The 23,081-nt window shown below is 41.3% G+C and overlaps 1 pseudogene across 1 annotated transcript in view; it reads left to right on the forward strand.

Moving 5' to 3' along the window:
• HYDIN2 (HYDIN axonemal central pair apparatus protein 2 (pseudogene)) overlaps window positions 1-23,081 on the forward strand; it is a 335,703-nt pseudogene that overhangs the window by 148,173 nt on the left and 164,449 nt on the right. The window contains exons 19-23 of the transcript NR_103556.2: window positions 6,957-7,192; window positions 9,070-9,170; window positions 11,621-11,756; window positions 14,128-14,292; window positions 15,795-15,947. The product of NR_103556.2 is annotated as an HYDIN axonemal central pair apparatus protein 2 (pseudogene) (transcript). The remainder of the gene's footprint in view (window positions 1-6,956; window positions 7,193-9,069; window positions 9,171-11,620; window positions 11,757-14,127; window positions 14,293-15,794; window positions 15,948-23,081) is intronic.

A 23,081-nucleotide genomic window follows, 5' to 3' on the forward strand; every position in this document is an offset into this window, starting at 1 on the left:
CTTACCCGTGGCGCCCATTTCCACTGAGGTATTGTGGGAACACTGATGGCTTGTCCTTTCAGCTCCAGCAGAGCCAACACTGACTTGGCTTCCACTGACTCCATTCTCCCTAGAGCTAGACCTGTGCTTCCCCCATGAAGCTACTGAGCACACTGAGATGTGCTGTAAGTGTAAAATACTATTGATTACATGTTGAAATAATATTTCTGACATGTTGGGTTAAATGCACTATGTTGTTAAAATTAATGTCACCTATTTGTGTTTTGCATTGTATTTCCGTTGGACAGTGTGAAGCTAATCTCTCTTCTCCCTTCATAGCCATTGAGGTATGGTTGCCTGGCCTTTTGCTATGGCAGCCCTGTTGCAGACCCATGGCAAGTTCACTGTTCTCAACCCAACTACCTTCCAGAACCATGAGTGGGAGGAAGGGTGCCATGTATCCATGTGTAATGCCTGTGTCCTTCTCCAGCCACACAGGAACTGAGAGATCCTCAAGTACTGATTCCCTTTCAGCGTAAGCATACCATTTTTATCCTGAGTTAGCTGCCCCAGGCAGGTATGAGAATATTCTGTGAAGTGGTCTGCTCTGAGATTCCCAACAAGAAAGCCAGGCAGAAGTCCCTTTGCTTCCAACATCCCCTCAACCTATTTAGCCACCCTATCCCTGAGATTCTGGCCTGTAAGGCAGATGCCATGATGTACACATGTGGCCACTCTGTTATTCTTCCCCTTCCCATACTCAACTGAGACAAAAGGAGTAGCCTTTCCACTTCCTCTTCCTGTTTGCCAGAACTCTCATATCATCGCCTCCTTTTCCTATATGCTGTATGCCAAATAAGAAAATAACCTGTGTGTCCATTTAAAGAATAACCTGTGTGTCAATTTAAAGGCTCTTATTCATCCTCAAAACAATGACACTGATAACATTATTCTCCATCAGATCTAGAATGGGATTTTTGATGTTAGGGAGCTCTGGCTCACACGAAACCAGGTACGCATGCTCCAAGGTTAGATAGGTTTTTCCCTTAACCATCTTCCATTTGGGCCTCCTTTATTAGGACGCAGGAAAGATTATCATTGGGTAATTTATCCATAGTTTCCTTGAGCTATAGAAATAAAAATCAACAGCTGTTCCTCATAGTTGGTTCAGCTGAAAGTTTTGGTAATTAGCTTAGCTGAAAATTAGAAACAATTTACTTTTCTTTTGTTGTCTAATATCTTATTGAACCATTTGATGATACAGCAGCTATGCAAGAGGCCAGAAGACACTGCAGAACCATGACCCCCAAGATTTCCCAAACCTGAGACATGGAAACTTATCTCAAAAACCAACTTAATCCACCTTCAAAACCCAAGTTATCTTTTCTTTTAGTTTAGCTATGAATGCTATAAATTCTTTAATCTTCTCTGTATTGTGGCAGGAAATGTCAGCAATAACATCCCTTTTGGGCTTGCCAACAGGAAATCTAAGGCGATCTGGTTTTCAAAACCACATGGGTCAGTGGGTTTAGGCTACTTTGCTTTGCTTCTGGAGTCTGTACTGCATCAGCCAAAGCGAGGGGCAATTTTGTGTTAATTTCCAATTATATGACCCCCACAATTTAAGCCTCATGACTCCAACAAAGTACCATTATTTCCCCAGGTGGATTGGTCTCTCATCAAATAGACTCTTCACAAAGAAGCATGGTGGCACTGGAGGATGTGGAGAGGCATTTGAAACTTTCTTTTCTTTTCTTTTCTTTTTTTGGTGTTTTTTGTTTTGTTTTGTTTTGTTTTGAGACAGAGTCTCTGTTGCCCAGGCTGGAGTGCAGTGGCACCATGTTGGCTCACTGCAATCTCCGCCTCCGGAGCAAGCAATTCTCCTGCCTCAGCCTCCCGAGTAGCTGGGATTACAGGTGCATACCACCACACCTGGCTAATTTTTTAATATTCTTTGTAGAGACGGGGTTTCACCATGTTGGCCAGGCTGGTCTCGAACTCCTGACCTCAGGTGATCCACCTGCCTCTGCCTCCCATGTGCTGGGATTACAGGTGTGAGCCACCGTGCCTGGCCACATTTGAAACTTTCTAATTATTACCCCACATATGCAAGTAGGGAGGCGTTAATGAGACAGATGAGCATAAGCTTGTTATTAGCTCAGGAATGAAAGACTAATAGGGATGCGTATAGTTCCTGATGCAAAAGTGAAACTGATCATTCCAGGAATAAGCCAAGAATTGGAGGAATATTTTAGTTATTTCAGAATGATGGACATATTATGTGGGGTTTAAAAAGGTTTGCAGAGGCTAATATAGTGGGGAATACATTAAGCTAACTAAAGTTGACAGTATTATCCCTGTATTGACACTTAAGTTCCATTCCTAAAAAGGAGTCTGTTACAGATTAGTGTTGGAGATGTGGCATTTATTTGCTTGGTGGTGAAGATATGGATTTTGCATCAGGGACTGTTGGAATTGATGATGTTGTGATAGATGGGTGGTGGGTAATAGTACTATATGTTGGTTTCCAGAATTTCTATGGCTATAAAGATTTTTGATGGTAGGATTGGATGTTGGATGACCTACCCAGAAATAATTAGTTCTGTTGACTACAGCTGCAGTAGCATGAGAGAGTCAGATAATAGAATTGGGTGGTGATTGTCCTTGAAGGAACATTGAGGCATAGATGAATCCTTGGATGGGTTAAAGAATAAACGGACCAAGTAACAACTGGCATGCTAGCTGATACACTAAAGGCCCAGGTAAATATCTGCAAACCCACTATTTTTCAGGAGATACAAGGATGTGTTGAATGAGAATAAGGAGTTTGAAAACCTCCAAGCATTTATTGAACTCGGCCATTGAATAATGTGGACAGAGAAGTTATTGCAAAATATGATAACCTGTCTGGGATTTGGGGACAGAGTTGTTCAAATAAAGCATCAAAAGATGCATTACCAGTGTCTCTTCTATGGCACTGATATAAACTGGCAGTATGTAGCTGAAGGAGAAATATCTAAGTTGACCTTCGGAGGGTGTAAAGTAGGGAGCCGGGAGCAAAACCGGATTGTAATGATCACAGAATGATCTTAGAAGGGTTGGCAGAAGAGATCATAGTAGGTGTGAGCAAAGCATGCCCAAAACAAGTTGTCAATAACAGTAAGGGAGACATCACAGGGTGTATCAAAATTGTATAACCTTAAGATAAGAAACAAGGAGTAATATGGCAAAATGATGAAAAACAAAAGCAGGCAAGGGAGAGTGTGAGAATCAGTAACGTCAGGCATCTAACAAAATCTCATCCCATCAGTCTTGAGCAGAAGCTGTCTACTGTGGGTAAAGTCTGCTTGTTCTGAGGGACTTGAAATAGCAGTCTATTTCTGAAGGTCATCTGCTTCTAAAGGTTTTTTCTGTTTTTTTAGAAAACCTCTACTTAAGATCCCCAGTGAGAGTATTTTTCAACACGTCTTCAGCCAATAATTTAGCTTCTATGGGCATCTTTTTCCTCAGAGGTCCACCTCATAATTTAACTGCAAGGTCAGTTGTTAGAAGGCTCTGAAGAAGACCTTCATTGGTGTATTTTTCAGGGTACTCATTCTTCAGTTAGAAAGAGGGGAGGGCTTCTGAGGGTGGTATTTTAGGGAAGACTTTTTAAACTTATAGATGAGCTGGTTCTCACAATATTTTGTTATGTCTGCATGAAGCAAGGTTGACCCAAATTGATGAAATACTTGTAATCACATGGATCTTCTAGTTATTATTTCATAAAGTGAATAGCCTATGAGTTACAGAGGGAGCTAATCATATCTGATGGCCATCAGAGCTAAAGGTAAAACTCTTCATCAAGGAACTCAGAACCTCGGAGAACTGGGCCAACTTAAGATCAGTAATACTATTTTTATGCTCTACATTTCCCAAAGATTGTGAAATTTTTTATCAAAGGGCTAACGCACTATAAAATTCTTTTTAACTCTTGTAGTGTAAGGTAACATTCCCCAGGTGGGAAAATTATAGTCTACAGTTTCTTAGTCACAGTCACAGCACTGGTCTTTCTGTACAGAAAGGCTCAAACCCATCCAAAGAATTTACAGTTACAAGCACATATTCTGAACTTTGTGAGCTGGGCCTAATCCACATATATTCCAGAGACTCACATCCCACTTGTACAATGTTTCTGGATATGGTATCAGGATGGGAGGCAGGAGCCAGCCACATCCCCAGCTACAGAGGAGAGATTTTCCCATTGATTCTTATTCAGAGATTATTTCCTCTCTTCTATGGTGGTGATGTTTTACGTATGATAAAACATTTTTGTCAAAGACCACTTAGATTTGGGGGCATAGTTGGTATTCCAGAGACCATTGGAATGAACAGAGGTTCCCAATTTTAGGCAACGTTTGTTTTCTGAATCTGAGGCTAAATTTTCTATGTCCAAAATGAGTTGGATATATGTGCTTATTGATTCCCATATTCTGAATTATTTCTATGGACAATGACAAAAATGCCACCTGATTTGCATAATGATCTGCCAACACAGTTCCCTTTGCTTTGTGGAGATTTTTACTTTACTAGAAAAATAAAGAATCCATTGTCTAAAATATTCCATGAATCCCCCAGTCTCTCAATTATAATTTAGCATTTTGTCCTGCATGTTGATGAATCAATTTAATACTCCCATTAGATAGGGTCCTTTCTCTAGTAGAGACGTCATGTTCCAAATAATATACCATATTTTTAAAGAACTGTAATTTTTCCTTTACAGCCTTGTGATCTTCCGCTGCTAGTTTCTGCTAGTCTTCTTAGGAGCTTTTTAGGTCAGGTGAAAATAAGCATCTTGAAGGAGAATTGAATCTCTTGAGAATGTTGTGTTTTAAAACATTATACAAGTATTGGGAGAAAGATCAGGTGCCTCTGTGAATCCTTGAGACATTCTGTGCAATTATGTTGTTAATTATTTGAAGAGAAGGCAAATAAATATTGACTTTTTATCTACTAGACCCTATAAAAGGGAGCATAGAGGTCTACAACTGTAAAGTACTTGCATTCAGGTGGAACTGTAGATAGAATAGTATTAGGATTGGTTGCAATTAGAAACCTAGGTGTAACATTCTTATTAATGACCTTCAGTCTTTAACAAATCAGCATCCCCTTCCTTTAGGCTTCTTGACAAGCAATATGGGATATTACAGGTACTAGTACAAGAAATTGTTGTAACTAGGAGGTCATAATTGGCTTTATTCTGTGAAAAAGTTCTGGCTTTAAGGAAGCAGTCTGGGCAATGGTTTGGAAGACCACGTGACTCTTTATAATACCCACTTTCCATAATACGCTCCACATTCACAGATCGTCTAACTCATAAATGGTCAGATCAAATAAGGCTAAGCCATCTACAGTTTCCAGAGTCATTATTTGGTAAGTCCAGGAAAGTCACATGTAGCATGATTGTGAAGCTGCCTTCCAAGCAGTTCCTCTGGAATTTCCAAGAATAATCCTTTAAGTGCACTCAATCTCACAGTTCTTTTTCCATGAAAGATATCTTCCAAGTAGGTTGGCAGGTGTGTTATCACAAAGGATACATGAATGTGTTTCCTCCAATGGCCTAATGTGTAGACAAAAGCTGAGACATGAGGCAGAAGTAGATCAACTCAAAATAGCCCCGACAGCAACAGTCATTACTCCAAGAGACCAAGTACATTTTATTACAGCAGAGTTCAAGGTAGAAGAGTAGCATTTCCATCCAGTAGAAATATGCATTTTTGTTCTCCTGTGTCTATAGATTATTCTTCTTGTTCTGAAAGTGGTATCAGATACAATAGCTGCCTAGGGAATCGAAAATCAGAGTTTAGTGGCCGGGCACTGTTGCTCACGCCTGTAATCCCAGCACTTTGGGAGGCCAAGGCAGGTGGATCACCTGAGGTCAAGAGTTCAAGAGCAGCCTGGCCAACATGGTGAAACCCCGTCTCTACTAAAAATACAAAAATTGGATGGGCGCGGTGGTGCATGGTGGCGCACACCTGTAATCCCAGCTACTCAGGAGGCTGAGGCAGGAGAATCACTTGAACCTGGGAGGTGGAGGTTGAGGTGAGTTAAGATTGTACCACTGCACTCCAGCCTGGGTGACAGAGCAAGACTCTGTCTCAAAAAAAAAAAAAAAGAAAGAAAGGAAGGAAGGAAGGAAGGAGGAAGGAAGGAAGGAAGGAAGGAAGGAAGGAAGGAAGGAGAGAGAAAGAAAGAAAGAAAGAAAAGAAAGAAAATCAGAGCTTAGTGTATTGCTTGCCAAGCAAGAAAGGTCCACACCTCTTAAGAGAGGAGTCTCACGGAACGAAGCTGGATACGATGACAAAGCAGCTTTGTCTAAGAGAGGTAAAAGCCAGGTGTTAGTCTCTGGCTGGCTCTAAAGCAGTTTGTAAAGTCTCTCTTGGGAAAGGCTATTTTTTGATACTGTGTCATCAGCCCTAAGAGCGTGATACCCAGACAGGTCTAGGACACACTATCATGTCTTGGCAAGCTCTGGGTCACCCAGCGGGCAAAACCATGCAGGCTTTTTCTTTCACACACTGGCAAATAAAAACAGCAAGCATGATTCAATGTAAAAATGTATATTTTTGTGTAAGAAATAAATGCAAAATATACTTCTGCAAGACTACTCAGCCAACTACTAACAGAGGCTGCCTCCCCGGAAGGGCCTGAGTGGCAATCAAGGGGCTTGTTTTATATGTGGTGTTTAATCTCCCACATAGTAAATGCATAGTAAATATTCATTGAGTGAATGCATAAATGAAAAAATAGATACATTAATGAATGAAAATGTATTTATTGATGGAATAAAACAATAATATTTAGGGCAAGTTGGAGTTAAGTAGTAATGAATAGCACAGACAGTTCATTCAAGAAGCTTAGCAGTTTCTAGGGGAGATTGAGGGTCAAGGGAGGTGTTGGGGGGGCTTTTATTTCTCACATCATGTTTTGTTTTCCAGGGTTTCCTCATACCTTGATATGTTCCCTCAATAATACCTCTTTGATCCCCATGACTTACAAACTGCGTATCCCTGGGGATGGCCTTGGCCATAAAAGCATTTCATATTGTGAGCAGCATGTGGACTACAAAAGACCGTCTTGGACCAAGGAAGAAATATCCTCAATGAAACCAAAAGAATTCACCATCTCTCCTGACTGTGGCACCATTCGCCCCCAGGGATTTGCTGCTATCAGGGTAAAGTGCATGGCCTTCCTGCACACACAGCTAAGCAGCTGAGCCTTCAAAATAGCCATGGGCCCTCATCTAGGGTTTGCTCTAGTATGTCCAGTGTCAGCAGGAGGGGGTGCCTGTCAATTTACAGGGAAACGTGGGCCTATAAGGAAATAAATCAGACACAAATACATTGGGCAAAGCAATGGGCACTGTGCCAGTGGCTTTACCTTAATCTAGATGCATTGCCTTCACCAGAAGAGTGGGTTCTAGGCATTTCTAGTGAAGCCACTGCTATCCAGACAGTACTCCCAGCGGTACTAATATAAACAGATTTCACAACTTATTGATACTTAGGTTTATCTTTCCTTCAGACTCAGATCCTTTAGATACCAATAAATAGCCACACTTATGCCAAAGATGATATCTGGTTTATTCAGCTTTGTAATCCGAATCCAGGCTTCATTCATGGTGGATGTGGATGTGATATCACTAACAGCGCCTTATCTTGAGTTCTGCAGGAAAAGCCATGAGAATTCAGCTTCCTCATCCTGAGGAATACTCATCCTTCCATGTTTTGTTTGCAATCAGGATAGTGCTTTGCCTTGGTTATCGCCTCACAGTGCCACCAGTGGAATTATTTCACCCTTAACTGTCTTCCCTCTTTTCTTTTGCTGTTGTTGTTTGTTGTTGTTGTTGCTTCCCAGATATCTCAGGAAGATTTTAAAAGACACAGCGTCTTGCTAGCAGCCTTCTGCCAAAACCACTTGTTCTTCCTTCTAGCCACAGCCCAGATACATAAACAAGGGGTTACAGTCACACTAGGATTCTCTGTTTCTTTCCAAATCAATGACTTCATCTTCACTTTATTTTTCCTTTATATTTGGAAAAGCTTTCTCCAAGCTCCAGTTTTCCCTCCTGATCTGCACTTCAGCCAGGTCTGTGTGGACTCAAATTTGCATCCAGTGATTCCCTCTGCAACTGAAAACATTTTAATTAGTACCAGATGCATAATTTATAGATAGAAAAGCCTTAACTCATGCCAGAAGCTGTTTTCTAGACTTGAAACTATCTCTTCCAGTACATACAATTTTGAAGCAATTAAAAATCGTAACAAGGCTTCTGAAAGCCTAAATGTACAGCTTCACAGCAGGAAATAAAAACACAGGGTAAAATGTTCTGAGCCCCCCAAGAGCCTCCCTTGACCCTCAATCTCTCCTAGCAACTGCTAAACTTCTTAAATGAATTGTCTGTGCAATTCATTACTGCTTAACTCCAACTTGCTGGAATTGGAATCTAAGTACCAATGAGTTCTGAAATCTGTTTATGGTTTGACCATGTTCTATTGTCCTCAAATAGACCTTTCTTTGGAACTTTCTATTTTCTGCTGTAATAAAGAATGTGGGATGGTGGGGGCAAGATTTTGGTAAAGCAGACTGATTTCTTACACCATTTTCTGGAACTGACATGGTTATTTCCATTTATTTTACTGTAAGAGAACTTGTGCTATAGTGTTTTACTTGTATATTACATTTTCATAATTCATATAGCCCAGAGGTAGGGAACAATTTAAATTGCAGTAATTAAAGTTGGTTCGATGTTGCTCATCGTTCATGCTCATTTTTGCCCTTATGCAGGTATGTGGCTTCTTTGACAAAACCTCCTCAGAAATGAGCAAAGCCATTGTACTAACAGCCATTTGGTTTCTACCCTGGCCTTTGAAAACACTCAGCATGCCCTGACCCCACAATGTAACTTGTTCAGCTAAAAATGTAAAATGCTATATATCCATAAAGCACTTAGAAACCACTCTGATCAGCGTAGTCCTCCGGAGGCTCCCCTCCCCCGTGTAGAGAGAACGTGCTTTTTCGAAGACCAACTTGTCACCTTTTTCTTTCCAGGTGACATTATGCTCCAACACTGTACAGAAATACGAGCTGGCACTCGTGGTGGACGTGGAGGGCATCGGAGAAGAGGTGCTGGCGCTCTTAATTGCAGCAAGGTATTGCTCCCCAGCTTGCTCTTCTCCTGAGTCGCCCCCGAGCCTCCAGTAATGGGCTGCCTCCCAGAAGGCAGCTGGCCTGCCAACCCAAGCACACTGAGTTTGTCCTGCCTTCCTGGGAAGGGAAGTTGAATCTGACATTCAAATGACAAAGCAGCAAATGTTTCTAAAGCACCTTTGGTGGAGATAAGAAGAAGTGTGTGTGTTTTGTAGAGTTTAGGCAGAGAATCCTAAGAATAGTGAAGAAACGGGTCAGACCCTCTCTAACGGGTTTGACTTTCAAAGTATGTAACCAGAAAGGTTTTAGCAGGAAGAGGTGAAGAGCTGCTCATTTTTATTTTCATCTTTCAACATAGTGCTCCGGAGTTATGCAATAGGAAGGTGATGCTGTCAGTCCTGCAGTGGAAGATCCATAGAGCCAAGAGGTCCCTGCCCCGGGACACTGTTGCTGTGACTTGAATTTCAGGCTAGGAGTGGGCCCCCAAGATGAGGCTCATCTTTAACAAGGTATACTCCTCAGAACCATCTCCAACTCCTCTCTCTTTTTGAGAGAGGCAGCTGGGTTAAAATCCTGGCTCAGCCATTTGTTGACTGTGTCTTTTTGACCAAGCTACAGTCATTGCAGTACTGCTGATGAGGGTGGTGGTGTCATCGACTAATGATGATGTGATCCCAAATAAAATCCTGGGGCCACACTCGTCCCAAAGCAATCAGTGTCCAGATCTGGGACTTTAAGTTGTATGTATGCAAATGCTACGTATAGGAAATAGAGAAAATGACTTAGGAAAACTGATAATCATGCTAATATGTCAATCTCTGGAATTCTGATCTCTTGTGAATCTTAGGAAGACATACACTTTAAAGATGGGGCAGATGTGCTGGTTGGTGGGGAGTTAGCAACTGACACTATTTCACGTGTCTTGGGCTTGGATGAAGATAAATAGCAGTGCAGAAATAACTTAAATTAGGGTTCCCACTGTGACCTACTTAGTATTCCTTCAAGACCTATTTTTTCCTTTGTTTACAAACAGTAAAAACCCTAATGTGGTCCTTTCTATGCCCAGATTTGCCTTTCAGTCTAGTCCTGCATTTCTTGTCTATGCAGACTTATTCAGATACTTTCTAGCCCCTTTCCCTACAGCTATCGATAGGAAATTCTAAATTAAAAAAAAAAAAAGGTCTAAAGAGGCTATGAGTTTTCTACTTATATTCTGTGACCCAAGTCAAGTAGTATAAGCCCTCTCAGTCACAGTATTTCAGGTAGTAAAGGATTAGCTTTAAGAAAGTCACTGGGTCAACAGACAACTTCCATTCCAGCTAGAAATGAACACTCATGCAAAATCACAAACTTTGCGGTTAAAGAAAGGCTCTTTCATGTCCTTATTTTTGGTGTAATCTGTAGGAACTACTCACTGACTCTTAACAGAAGAATTGCTTTTAGAACTGCAGCCTCAAGTAACTCTCTCCAGAGAGCCAGCAGTGACAGCCTGCCATGATTCTGCCACAGGCTCACTCCCTCTTACTGGGCACTTACCTGGTGCTGGGCTATGCCCTTCCAGCACCCTAAGAAGAGTTTATAATGCCAATATCAATCCCTAGAATTATCCTCATTTTACCTATGAGAGAAATGGGACTCTGAGACAGAAAGCAGCTTGCCCAAGGTTACACAGGTTGTACTTAGTAAGGTCAGTCTTTGAAGCTGGCTCTGCAAATTCAAAAGCTGGTACTCTTCACCATTGCACTATACTGAAGCAATGGCAAAGGGTAGGATAGACATTGAGAGCCACAGACGGCAAATAAAATCCAAGTCACCTAATAATAGACCAATGGTAAACACAGGGCTTCAACTCCCCTCTTTTCTGCATACAACCCTCCCTCCCTCTCCCCCCACCTCACCCCCGCCATGTCGGCACAGTGACAACCCCGTCACAGTGCCAGTTCTGGACCAAGCAGCCACCTGAACCTCTGCATCCAAGACAGCTGTTCTGCATAGGAATTAGCATTATTATTGTTATTTAGATGATGTGAGCTGTCGCTAGTCCTTGGGGGGCTTTCTGACTGGTCCAAAGTGTCACAGCTAGTTAGGACCACATGCTGGTGGCATTGGCCCTGTTTGGCATGGAAACAGATTCACTACCCTATGGATCTTGCGCCATGGGGACCCCTTGCCCAAAGAAGGGCAAATATATAAAACAATGGAAATGTGAGTCATTACCCACCAGGCAGCTCTTCAAGGAGTTCTGCTTCTAGTCCTTTTTTGATTAAAAAGTGGTGACTGGGGGCCAAGAGACAGGGAAGAGAGGAGGAGAGAAGCTTTGAAAGTGACTAATGTGGTTATTAGAGAAAAACTACTATGTGACACTGACAAATGTATCTTGCTTGGGGCTCTGCGTGTTCTGTATGTAAACAAGCTCTCTGTTTTGAATTGTGTGATGGGCTCCTCCGAGCAGGTGTGTTGTACCTGCCCTCCACCTGGTCAATACAGAGGTGGACTTTGGGCACTGCTTCCTGAAGTACCCGTATGAGAAAACACTCCAGCTTGCCGATCAAGATGACCTCCCAGGATTCTATGAGGTCCAGCCTCAGGTGAGTTCCTTTCTCCTTCTTCAGTATTAATTATTCTTCCATTGAGTTCCCTTGATGAGAAAGAGAAATCCCTCTGAAGTGCCACATTCCTGAACACATGACCTTAAGTAATGCTGATTTTTAACCCTTAGATAGTCTAAGGATCGGGTTATAAAGTCACAGTTGGATTGCTAGCTGCATGCCTGAGCAGCTGCAGGTGTAAACCGTTGTTAATTTCCCAGAGAAATTACCCTTGATAAACAAGGGAAAGTGTCAATTAAGCCAACATGCAGAATTGCATCTGCAAATAATTGCCTGTGAACTAACCATGCATGGGAAATGAGCTAGGAGTTTTCATTATGTCCATGGCTGTGAGTTGAATGGCATCAGTAAGTAATGCAATATTTATAAGTAGATTTGTTGGACCAGAAAGCTAGAGACAATACAGGAATAAGAAAGGAGGAATTATCTCTTCATGTTTTATGAAATGTGTCTGTCCATATGCCACTACACCCAGCTAAGTGGGAGACTAAGGAGTTAAACACAGATGGATAAACAATTTTTTAAAAATCTGTACAGATTAGAGTAATGGAAGGTTACTACTGAGATGCAGTTTACCAAGAATGCATTTGGGTATAAAACTCAGTTATAGAAGTACAATATTCTAACTAAAATGTATGCAAAAATGTCATATGGGGGTTTATTTGGCTACAAGATCAATGGGAGTTAAAACAGCAATATGGAGGCCACAGAACCAAGGCAAGTTTAGGCTGCCGCAGAGAATTACCACCTTTAGGTAAAGGAAGGTGATAGCTGCTGGTCAGAACACAGCCAGAATTTTGTCTTCAGATGTTGTCATTGTATTTTTCTAATGGAAACTTGAAGAAGAAAAAGCACCATGTGCACAGTAACCAAAATGGCAATCCATGGCATCTGCAAATCCAATCATATGTGTGTTTAATCTGAAACAGAATAGAATTAGCTAGGATAACACAGCTACCTTTCACAAGTCACGGGGCTGTTACGTAACAGAGAAATAGAATGGTTCTATGGGTTTCTCTGAGACAGAACTAGAAGCCAAGGGTTAGGGTGACAGGAGACAAGGTCTAACACTCAGATGCTCCACAGCAGGCCGGGCCAGCCCTGCACAGTGCATGATCATTTCAAGAACTCAGAGTGGAGTGTGCATCTGGGGTCAGGGGAAGTTGTTTCTGCACAGCAGGACTGGGCATAGGATGAGGCACTTGCCTTGGGCACAAAATTTAAGGGGAAGCCAAACACTCAAGATGCTTAGTATTTCCATTACATATTGTAAGAAATCAAAATTAATTCCAAAAAATCCATAATAAACAAGATACCAAAACCTAGGTAAAGAGATCAGTCCGACCTCAGGCTGTCATAAGGCTCGGCGGAGCACTGTGGCACAGGGAGGAGTTAGACTGGGCCATGTTAGGCCAGACCAGATGCAGAGAGACTGTGGCGTACCCCAGGCAGGTGACACCTGCATGCTCTGTCGTCCTCCCCAGCAGCAGAGGCTCTGAGAAATGGTTCCCAGAGTTATATAGTAGCATTTTAAAAATTTTATTTGCGTTCTTGATGCATAAAAGCTGGTAATATGGTGCAGAACAGGGTTCTGAGAAACACAAATTGGTCAATACTGGACAGTTGTTCATTCATTCATTCATTCCTCACTTTAAAAACTGAGCATATGCTTTGGGTCAGAAAGTGGTCATGTAGAGAGGAGAGGCCCAGCTGTATGCTAAGAAGTTGTCAGCGGGAGATGCAGGTGGCATGGTGCTGTCCAGTGCATGCTGTGGAAAAGGACTGCACAGGATGCTCCCTGGGGACAGAGGAAAGGTTCCCACCCTAGGGCACTTGAGGAACAGAGGGAGAATTCAGGATGAGTGTGCCAGATGGGTTGATGGGTATGGGCGTTCTAGGAGGAGTCACCACAAGTGCAAAGGACTGGAGGTCAGAAGCAGCATCATGGATTCAGGAAACACCAGCAGCCTCTATTGATGGAGCACAAAGGGCAAGGGAGTGGGGATGATGCGTGAGGGTGCAGAGGGCCAGGTTAAGGAACTTGGAAAGTGGAAAGTGGACCTTTTCCTTTTCCTAAGGAAAGTGGAAAGCTGTTGCCCTGAACTTATTTGTGTTGCGGATAATTCTGCATCTTGCTGTGCTGGGCACTTTGAATTTTGGGCCTCATGCACATCCCACTTAACCAAACTTCCTTTTGGCCGAATTGGGGTGCTCATCCCTATTTACTTGCTTGAATAATAAGACATTTCTAAAACACCTCTATGGACTCAGGAAAACGCTTCAAAATAAGCAAATACGCTATTTGTTCCATGCTGTGCTGTCCTTACCCCTCTGGTTTGCTCTCCCCCAGGTGTGTGAGGAGGTGCCTACTGTGCTGTTTTCCAGCCCCACCCCCAGCGGGGTCATCTCCCCAAGCAGCACCATCCACATACCACTGGTCCTGGAGACCCAGGTCACTGGAGAACACAGATCCACGGTTTACATCTCAATCTTTGGGAGCCAGGACCCCCCTTTGGTGAGAGTCCATTTTCAGAACTGCAATTGAAATTGCTGTGCTTCTTCTCAAACATTTTGAGCTTTCTCATTTGAGGCCCACACCGTATTCACATACACCCCAGTTGCTTGGAGTTCTAGGGTTTTATGTTTTTACTCTGCAATGGTAAAATACCGGTGCTATGTGACTTTACAGAATCTGTTTATGGCTACATCTAACAGAAGCAGTGTTTTATAGCAATCATCCTTAAACCTAACAGGATACCAGGAGTTTCTCTCTCTCTCTCTCTCTCTCTCTGACACACACACACACACACACACACACTGTCACACATGCCTGACCCCTCTCCAGTCCTTTGAAATCAGAAACTCTGAGGGGAGGAAGCCAGCACATCTGTACGGGAGCCAGCACATCTGTATTTTTAATAAGCTCCTTGGTTGTTCCTGGTGCAAAGCTGGGTTTGGGTATCACTGGTTTGTCACCTGTAGGCTGGGAGATCAGTTTCCTTCACTGCTCACCTGAGCTTTTCTTGTATATTAACTTGACTCATGGCTCATATTAGCCTACTCAAGCTAATGTGCCATCAGCCTACTCAAGCTGTTAAGAGAAATAGTCTCTCTCCAAGAGGAAGAGGAAGAGGGATTCATGGAAAGCTCTCCACTGCTTAGGCTGAGTTGAAGGATAAACATCGAATCCTACAGGAGGTTGCCCAACAGGCTCTGTATTCCTAGACATGTGGTTTACTTGGGAACTAGTGATGTCGCCTTACGTTTCTTTGTTGTGACTCTGATTGCTTAGACAGCGTAAAACACTAGGATTTTGCTTTTATCTCTTCCATATAAGATGCCGTAAATAAGCCACTTAACTTATAAAGCAGCATCACCAAGGCAGGCCGACCCCAAAACATGCCACCAGTTCAGGTCCCCCACGAGGCTCACTGTGCTGCTGTCCTACCCCCCTGCACAGATGCAGCCCATGAGAGGGTAGCTTGCTGAGCAGCCAGAACTTTGTGAAAGAAAAGGGCCACCTTCCTCAGGCAGACACAGTGCCTGGCTCCGGGGACAGGAAGAAGAGAGTAGAGCAAAGTGGATTTCAATCTCCAACCCTCACAACTATGTGCAGTGGCCCTGCCCTGCCACACCACTTGTAAAGCAACAGAACTGGAACTCAAACCCAGCCACATCTGACTTTGAAGTGCTGACCCTTAACCCCGTACTAAGTGTCATTGAGGCTGGAGTGCTGTGTGGGATGGAGGGGACCCAGATTCTGGTTTCCCCTCAATGCATGGCTCTGGGCTGACCTGGGGAAGCTGCTCATTCTTTCCGGGGAGGAAATCCAGGCTGGATTCACAGGTCTGACCAGCATGGCCCTCGCTGTGTTCCCGAGACCACAGCACACCAATGGGAAGGGGTGCCAGTTCTCATAAGCATCCTCTTTTGCCCTTGCTTTTTATTGAAGGAATGGCTAAAAGTGGCTAGCCATTTCCAGCTGTTCCTGTGTTCTTTCTCTCTGGCGGAACTCAGGTATGTCACTTAAAGAGCGCTGGAGAAGGCCCAGTTATCTACGTCCATCCCAATCAAGTGGACTTCGGGAATATCTACGTCCTAAAAGACTCTTCCAGGATTCTCAACCTATGCAACCAGTCCTTCATTCCCGCATTTTTCCAGGCACACATGGTAAGTCATGGGACATGATGAAACACAGCTTTGGCTTATAGGCAATGGCCCTATTTTTGCAACATGTCTTTGAAAATGATCACCAGAAGCAGAGATTTGCATGGTTATGTTGTTGTATTAAACCACGTCATTCCCATCCCCAATTCTTCTTTATTATAATAAATTAACATAATAATGTATGCATCAATTAATAATTTTGTTGATTAAGGTATGCCTTAGCTCAAGGGATGCCTATTATAATACTTTTTGTTGATTAAGAAACACAGTGTGCATGTCTTTTGGTAAACAGGCAAGTACAGTCAATAGAATCCCAGTTCAGGAAGATGCTTCGGAGGTCAACAAGCTCCCCTACTGAACTGTACCTAAGCCCAGCCCCAGCCCTCAAAAAAACACTTTTTAGATGTCTCTTTAACTAGAAGTGCTCCCTTTAATTTGAGTCCTTTTGGCTATACATATGTTGGTGTGTTTATTCTATTTTTTTTCCTCTCTTCCTTCTAGCAATATTTTAAGGTAGTTTGTGAGGATGTCTGAAATACAGGAGAGTATTCACCAAAAACAGAAATTAAAGTGAACAGCAAAGACAGATACAAAATAGATGTAAAATGGTTTTAGAAATGGATTTGTCTCATTTCTATGTACAGTTGACCCTTGAACAATGTGAGGATTAGGGACACCAAACCCCCATGCAGTTGAAAATTCACATATAACTTTTTTTTAAACTTTTATTTTAGTTTCATGAGGTACATGTGCAGGTTTGTTACACAGGTAAATTGTATGTCACAGGTTTGGTGTGCAGATTATTTTATCACACAGGTAATAAGCATAGTATCCGATAGGTAGTTTTTATATTCTCTCTTCCTCCCATCCTTCACCCTCAAGTAGGCCCCAGTGTCTCTTGTTCCCTTCTTTGTGTGACATTTGGTTTTCTGTTCCTGTGTTAATTTGCTTAGGATAATGGCCTCCAGCTCCATCCATGTTGCTGCAAAGGACATGATTTCATTCCAGACACATAGACCAATGCAACAGAATAGAGAGCCCAGAAATAATGCCACACAGCTTACAACCGTCTTATCTTTGACAAAGTTGACAAAAGCAATGGGGAAAAGATTCTCTAGTCAATAAATGGCATTTGCATAACTGGCTAGTCATATGCAGGAGATTGAAACTAGACCCCTTCCTCACACCATATGCAAAAATAAGATGGATGAAAGACTTACATGTAAAACCTAAAACTATAAAAATCCTGGAAGATAACCTAGAAAATACCATTCTGCACATGGACCCTAGCAAAGATTTTATGACAAAGATTCTAAAAGAAATTACAACAAAAACAAAAATTGACAAATGGGTCCTAATTAAACTAAAGAGCTTCAGCACAGCAAAAGAAACATACAACTTTTGACCTCTCAAAAACTTATCTGCTAACAGCTTACTGTTGACCAGAAGCCTTTCCAATAACCGTCGATTAACGCATATTTTCTATGTTATATGTATCACATACTGTATCTTACAGTAAAGTAAGCTAGAGAAAAGAAATGTTATTAAGAAAATCATAAGGAAGCAAAAACATACTTAGTTATTAAGTGCAGGTAATCATCATAAAGATCTTCATCCTCATCATCTTCACATTAAGTAGGCTGAGGAGGAGGAGGGAGAGAAGGGGTTGATCTTACTGTCCCATCGGTGGCAGAGGTGGAAGAAAATCCACATAAAAGTGGACTGATGCCGTTCAAACTCATGTTGTTCAAGGGTCAACTGTATTTAATAATGACATTTAGACCTGCTAGTCTTCTATAAGCTAATTTTTATTTTATTTTTGCACAAGAACAGACATGAAATGGTGGGGGTTTTGTAGAGTTTAGGAATTTCTTTTTTTTTTTAATTTAATTTTATTTATTTATTTATTTTTTTATTATACTTTAAGTTTTAGGGTACATGTGCACATTGTGCAGGTTAGTTACATATGTATACATGTGCCATGCTGGTGCACTGCACCCACTAACTCGTCATCTAGCATTAGGTATATCTCCCAATGCTATCCCTCCCCCCTCCCCCCACCCCACCACAGTCCCCAGAGTGTGATGTTCCCCTTCCTGTGTCCATGTGATCTCATTGTTCAATTCCCACCTATGAGTGAGAATATGCGGTGTTTGGTTTTTTGTTCTTGCGATAGTTTACTGAGAATGATGATTTCCAATTTCATCCATGTCCCTACAAAGGACATGAACTCATCATTTTTTATGGCTTCATAGTATTCCATGGTGTCTATGTGCCACATTTTCTTAATCCAGTCTATCATTGTTGGACATTTGGGTTGGTTCCAAGTCTTTGCTATTGTGAATAATGCCGCAATAAACATACATGTGCATGTGTCTTTATAGCAGCATGATTTATAGTCCTTTGGGTATATACCCAGTAATGGGATGGCTGGGTCAAATGGTATTTCTAGTTCTAGATCCCTGAGGAATCGCCACACTGACTTCCACAATGGTTGAACTAGTTTACAGTCCCACCAACAGTGTAAAAGTGTTCCTATTTCTCCACATCCTCTCCAGCACCTGTTGTTTCCTGACTTTTTAATGATTGCCATTCTAACTGGTGTGAGATGGTATCTCATTGTGGTTTTGATTTGCATTTCTCTGATGGCCAGTGATGATGAGCATTTTTTCATGTGTTTTTTGGCTGCATAAATGTCTTCTTTTGAGAAGTGTCTGTTCATGTCCTTCGCCCACTTTTTGATGGGGTTGTTTGTTTTTTTCTTATAAATTTGTTTGAGTTCATTGTAGATTCTGGATATTAGCCCTTTGTCAGATGAGTAGGTTGCGAAAATTTTCTCCCATTTTGTAGGAATTTCTAATTCAATAATTGAAAGTATTCTTAATTTTAGAAATAGTTTTCTAAATTTAAATATAAAATGTTTAATTGTATAGCCCTCTGCCTATCGTCAAATTATTGCATTTGGATGAGAACTAACATTTAGTTTCAGCATTTGTCAGATATTTCTGAATAATCAAGTATTATTAATTTCATAAAATTTAAGGAATGGCATTTTCTGCTGACTTGTGACAGCTCACCAGAGACATTGGTCCCAGTTAGCAGCCATTTATCGTCATTATTTATTTTTATTATCATTTATCTTTACTCATTATGAAGGCAGCCACATTCACATATGGTCACTGGTCTTTTTAATAGAGGTTTTCACACAACTCCAATCGTGCTCTAGCACTGTGTGGATCTCATGTAAAGAATATTGTTTCATAATGTTTAAAGAAAAATCCTATAGAAAAGACATTTTTACTAGTCTTTATCCAATTAGTTAATTGATGTGTTTGGTAGAAAGCACAGGGTACTGCTTAGGAAGTGTTGCTTCCTGGTTCAGTACCGAGTTGATGCTGGGAGAGGAAGAGTCAATCTCTGTCCAGTGAGCCGAGATCATACCACTGCACTCCAGCCTGGGTGACAGAGCGAAACTCCATCTCAAAAAAAAACAAAAGAAGAAAAGAAAAGTGGTTTCAACTTCAGGTAGTTCTCATAGGGGAAAATTAAACGCTTATTTCAGCCGAGATTTTTGTTGGATGTCCTAGTAAATATGATATGTATTAACGTTATAAAAATTGAACTATGCTAATTTGAAATTAACTACAGTGGAAGGAAACTGAAAAATTTCAACTTGATGTACAGTACCAAACCTTCAAATGCATTCTTACAGGAATTACTAAGCATTAGGAGAGAGCTTCAATTAATAGTTTATTCCCCAAGCCTATTACAAATTCAGGTGCTGGAAGTTCTTCTTTCTTGTTGGATGCTGTGACAGGAGGGGCCATTCTCTGTCCTCTTTTGGCCATAGGGTGAATGTCAGCCCTTCCCAGATGTGGCACTCACTGTCAGCCATCTGTCACACTCAGCCTCATGTGCGGCCACACAGCACAGCACCACTGTGATTAGATTTACCCTTCGCAAGAAACAGCTGTTTGTTATCAGCCAGAGGGGTCAGGAGATGGGAAGCCGAAGCCTACCTCCATAGTGATATTGGAAGATAAATGACACTTAGAGCAATTTGGAATTCCTCAGAAACAAATACTATACAAAAAAATGATTTTTAAAAACACCTGGGACCTCTTCATATAGTATGGAATGAAGAAACAGTGAAGATTATATTTTTTATATTCTATTAAAACTTAATTTATTTTCAGTGTAAAAAAAGTTGATTAGTACAAGGAAGAATGTTCTGTGACCTGGAACAGTAGACTCTCCTTTGCTTTGGAATGCCTGCGCCTGGAATATCAGCCTCCACCAACAGTTCCCAGCAGGCTGACTTCTTTGGAACAATCAAATAAGGCACCTCTGGTTTGAAGGAGTAAAAAAAAAAAAAAAAAAAAATCTCAGAATGTGGGAACGGAGAATGGAAAGGCCCTGTTGGCAGGAGAATGCGTGCTCTGCTTGTATGCAGGGAGCTCTATCAGGAAGAGAGACTTTCCCCTCCCTATGAGCAGCGGAAATAAGGGTGAGGATGCAGCAGTGCCCCAGGGCCCTAGGGACCTCAGCACTGGGCTGGAGGACAGATGCCTCCTTTTAATGGGTGCCCCTTGCTAGGCAGAGGAAGTGCCTTGCTCGGCACTTGTTTGGAAGCATCTGGAATCATTTTCTTTTTGCTCTTGGCTCTAATTCAGCCTTGGCTACCTTTAGCTCAAACCTTGGGTCCAGATGTCAGTGACACCTTGGGACTCAGATGGCACCAAGACATCTTTGTAGTGGCCTTCTGCCTCCGTGATCTGCAGAGAAAGGCCATTGTAATGAGATACTTAGAATTCCTGGATCCAGGAAACAGGAATTCAGATGCCTCATCCAAGCATGGTTCTTTTAAAACATTTATTTTTCTTCATCACTTGCCACAGCCATACACAGTGATATGGCAGCAAGGGAGAATTATTGGGCTTTCAAAGCTCCTTCAGACCCTCAGCCACTGGGTTATTTCCTCATTTAAATAGGGACCCCCTTTCTGTATGTATTTGTTGATGTGTCTGTCTCCTTTAAATGACAGTAGTCTCTGCACTGACTTTCCAGCACGTAGCAGCTGGCTTAACAATTATAATGATGGCAATATGGTGACACTAAGTTAATTCTGACTAACATCTATTTCATTCTATTTGCCACTTTTTATACAGTATTTCATTTTCTACAATTCTGTGAGAAAATACTGTTATTATTCCCATTTTAACTAGGTAGAAATAGGTTAAGTTAATTGCCACAACTTGTAAGTGGAAGGCCTGGTTCTGGCCCCAGTGGTCTGACTTTCAGATTCCTTCTCTTTTCCTCTGCGCTAATGAACCGCCTAATTTTACCCCAGCAGTGCTTATGAAAATGGACTTGGAAATGGTGAAAGGAGCACGGTTTCATGTTCATAAATGACCCTTTAAGGTAGACACACCTAGAGGAGTAGGATTTGTTAAAAGGGCAGGAGAAGAAATTAAGGAGTATATCTGAAGTACAGAAAATGACTGTATGTACTTCATTTTATGCAGAGGGGTGTTGAAATGTACATATATAAATTATCTCCACAATGCCATTTTTCCGCCAACCAAAATGCCTTCAATTGTATATCTGAAATAAAGACACATAATTTACTTTTTCACTTTCTTTTTTATCCTTTGTAGTATAACATAGAGCATTTAGTTATGTATGTAAATGTGTGTAAAAATTCTTCACTACTACAGCTAGTAGAAGTTTAAAATTCAAAGTTGTGTCCCCTACTTTAACAAAAGAAATAGACAAACAGAAAGAAATTGGCTGGCAGGCATTTAACATCAAGGGAGATTGTCAGTGCTGGACTCTATCCATTTTCAGAGAGAGTGAAAATTGTGGCTATTACCGGAGAGCTCATTTTAAACTTCTTATAGCAACTGGTCCGTAGAAAACTGCAGCTATGCCTTGTACACTGCATCACCCCTGCATACTGGGGCTCACTGTAGATCTGGAACTCTGTCTTCTCCTTGGGGAATTGACTGTATTAGAAGATTCCATGCTACAGACATTTCTAATAGACAAACAATATGACTCCAGGGCCTTTTGACAGATGACATCATTAAGCTATTCCACCCCACAATGTGTGTGAAGAGGAGATAGAATGGGCTGTTTCTCAGGCTTCAATGAGTAGATTAGCTCTGCCCTCTAAATTGTTACATCTGTGGAGGGAAATGATGAGGAAAAAGGAAAGAAATGTGCATGAATCAGACAGCAACTACAGTTGTTAAGCCTCTTTATATTCTTTTTGTTTCTGATGGGTTTTACAAAATAGTAGCTTTGTTTCCTAAGATGAATTTACAATATACTATTTAGTTTTTAGCTCACAGCTCAACTCTTGTGTTAATGTGATTCATGCCTAGCACGTGCTGTGTTCTCAACACATACCCACTCCCCTTAAGGTTTGCAGTGTCCTCATTCAGCAGATCAGATAACCGAGATTCTCTTGGTTAAGAGAACTGGCCAAGGTTGCATGATAAAAGTCAGCCATCACTCAGCTTCTCTACATTTTAGTCTATTTTCTGTCTGTTCTACCATAGAAGTATTTAATTCTGGAGGTCAGACACTATGTATATGAACATTTTAATACAGAAAAAAATCAAGAGATATACTTGATACAAAAATTAACACATGTTAATCTTTCCCCACATTTATTTACCTCAGATCCTTTACTTAAAGAAATCATATATTAATGTTAATGTCTATGGAGTTCCATAGATTCTCCTTGCCAGTCCTATGTCCTTTCTCTCTGCCCATAGGCAACCGTATCATGAATTTGATGTGTGTCCAAACCATGTTTTTATATTTATTACATAATATATATTATATGCATTCATAAATACTATATTGTGGCATGTTGTTGCTTCTAAAATGTATATAAATCATATCACTGTATGTGACATTCTGCAACTTATTTTTCAGGCTCAAAATTACGTTTCCAACATCTATCCATGTTAATGCCTATAAATCTAGTTATTTCATTTTAATTGCTGTGGATACTCCATTTACCATTTATTATGTTTATTTCTTTGCCTACTTGTTGACAATTGGGTTATTATAACAATGCTGCAGTGAACAGAATACTTGTCTCCTTGTGTACATAGGCAAGAGTTT

Source organism: Homo sapiens, chromosome 1 (assembly GCF_000001405.40).
Source record: "Homo sapiens chromosome 1, GRCh38.p14 Primary Assembly".
Classification (NCBI taxonomy): Eukaryota; Metazoa; Chordata; class Mammalia; order Primates; family Hominidae; genus Homo; species Homo sapiens.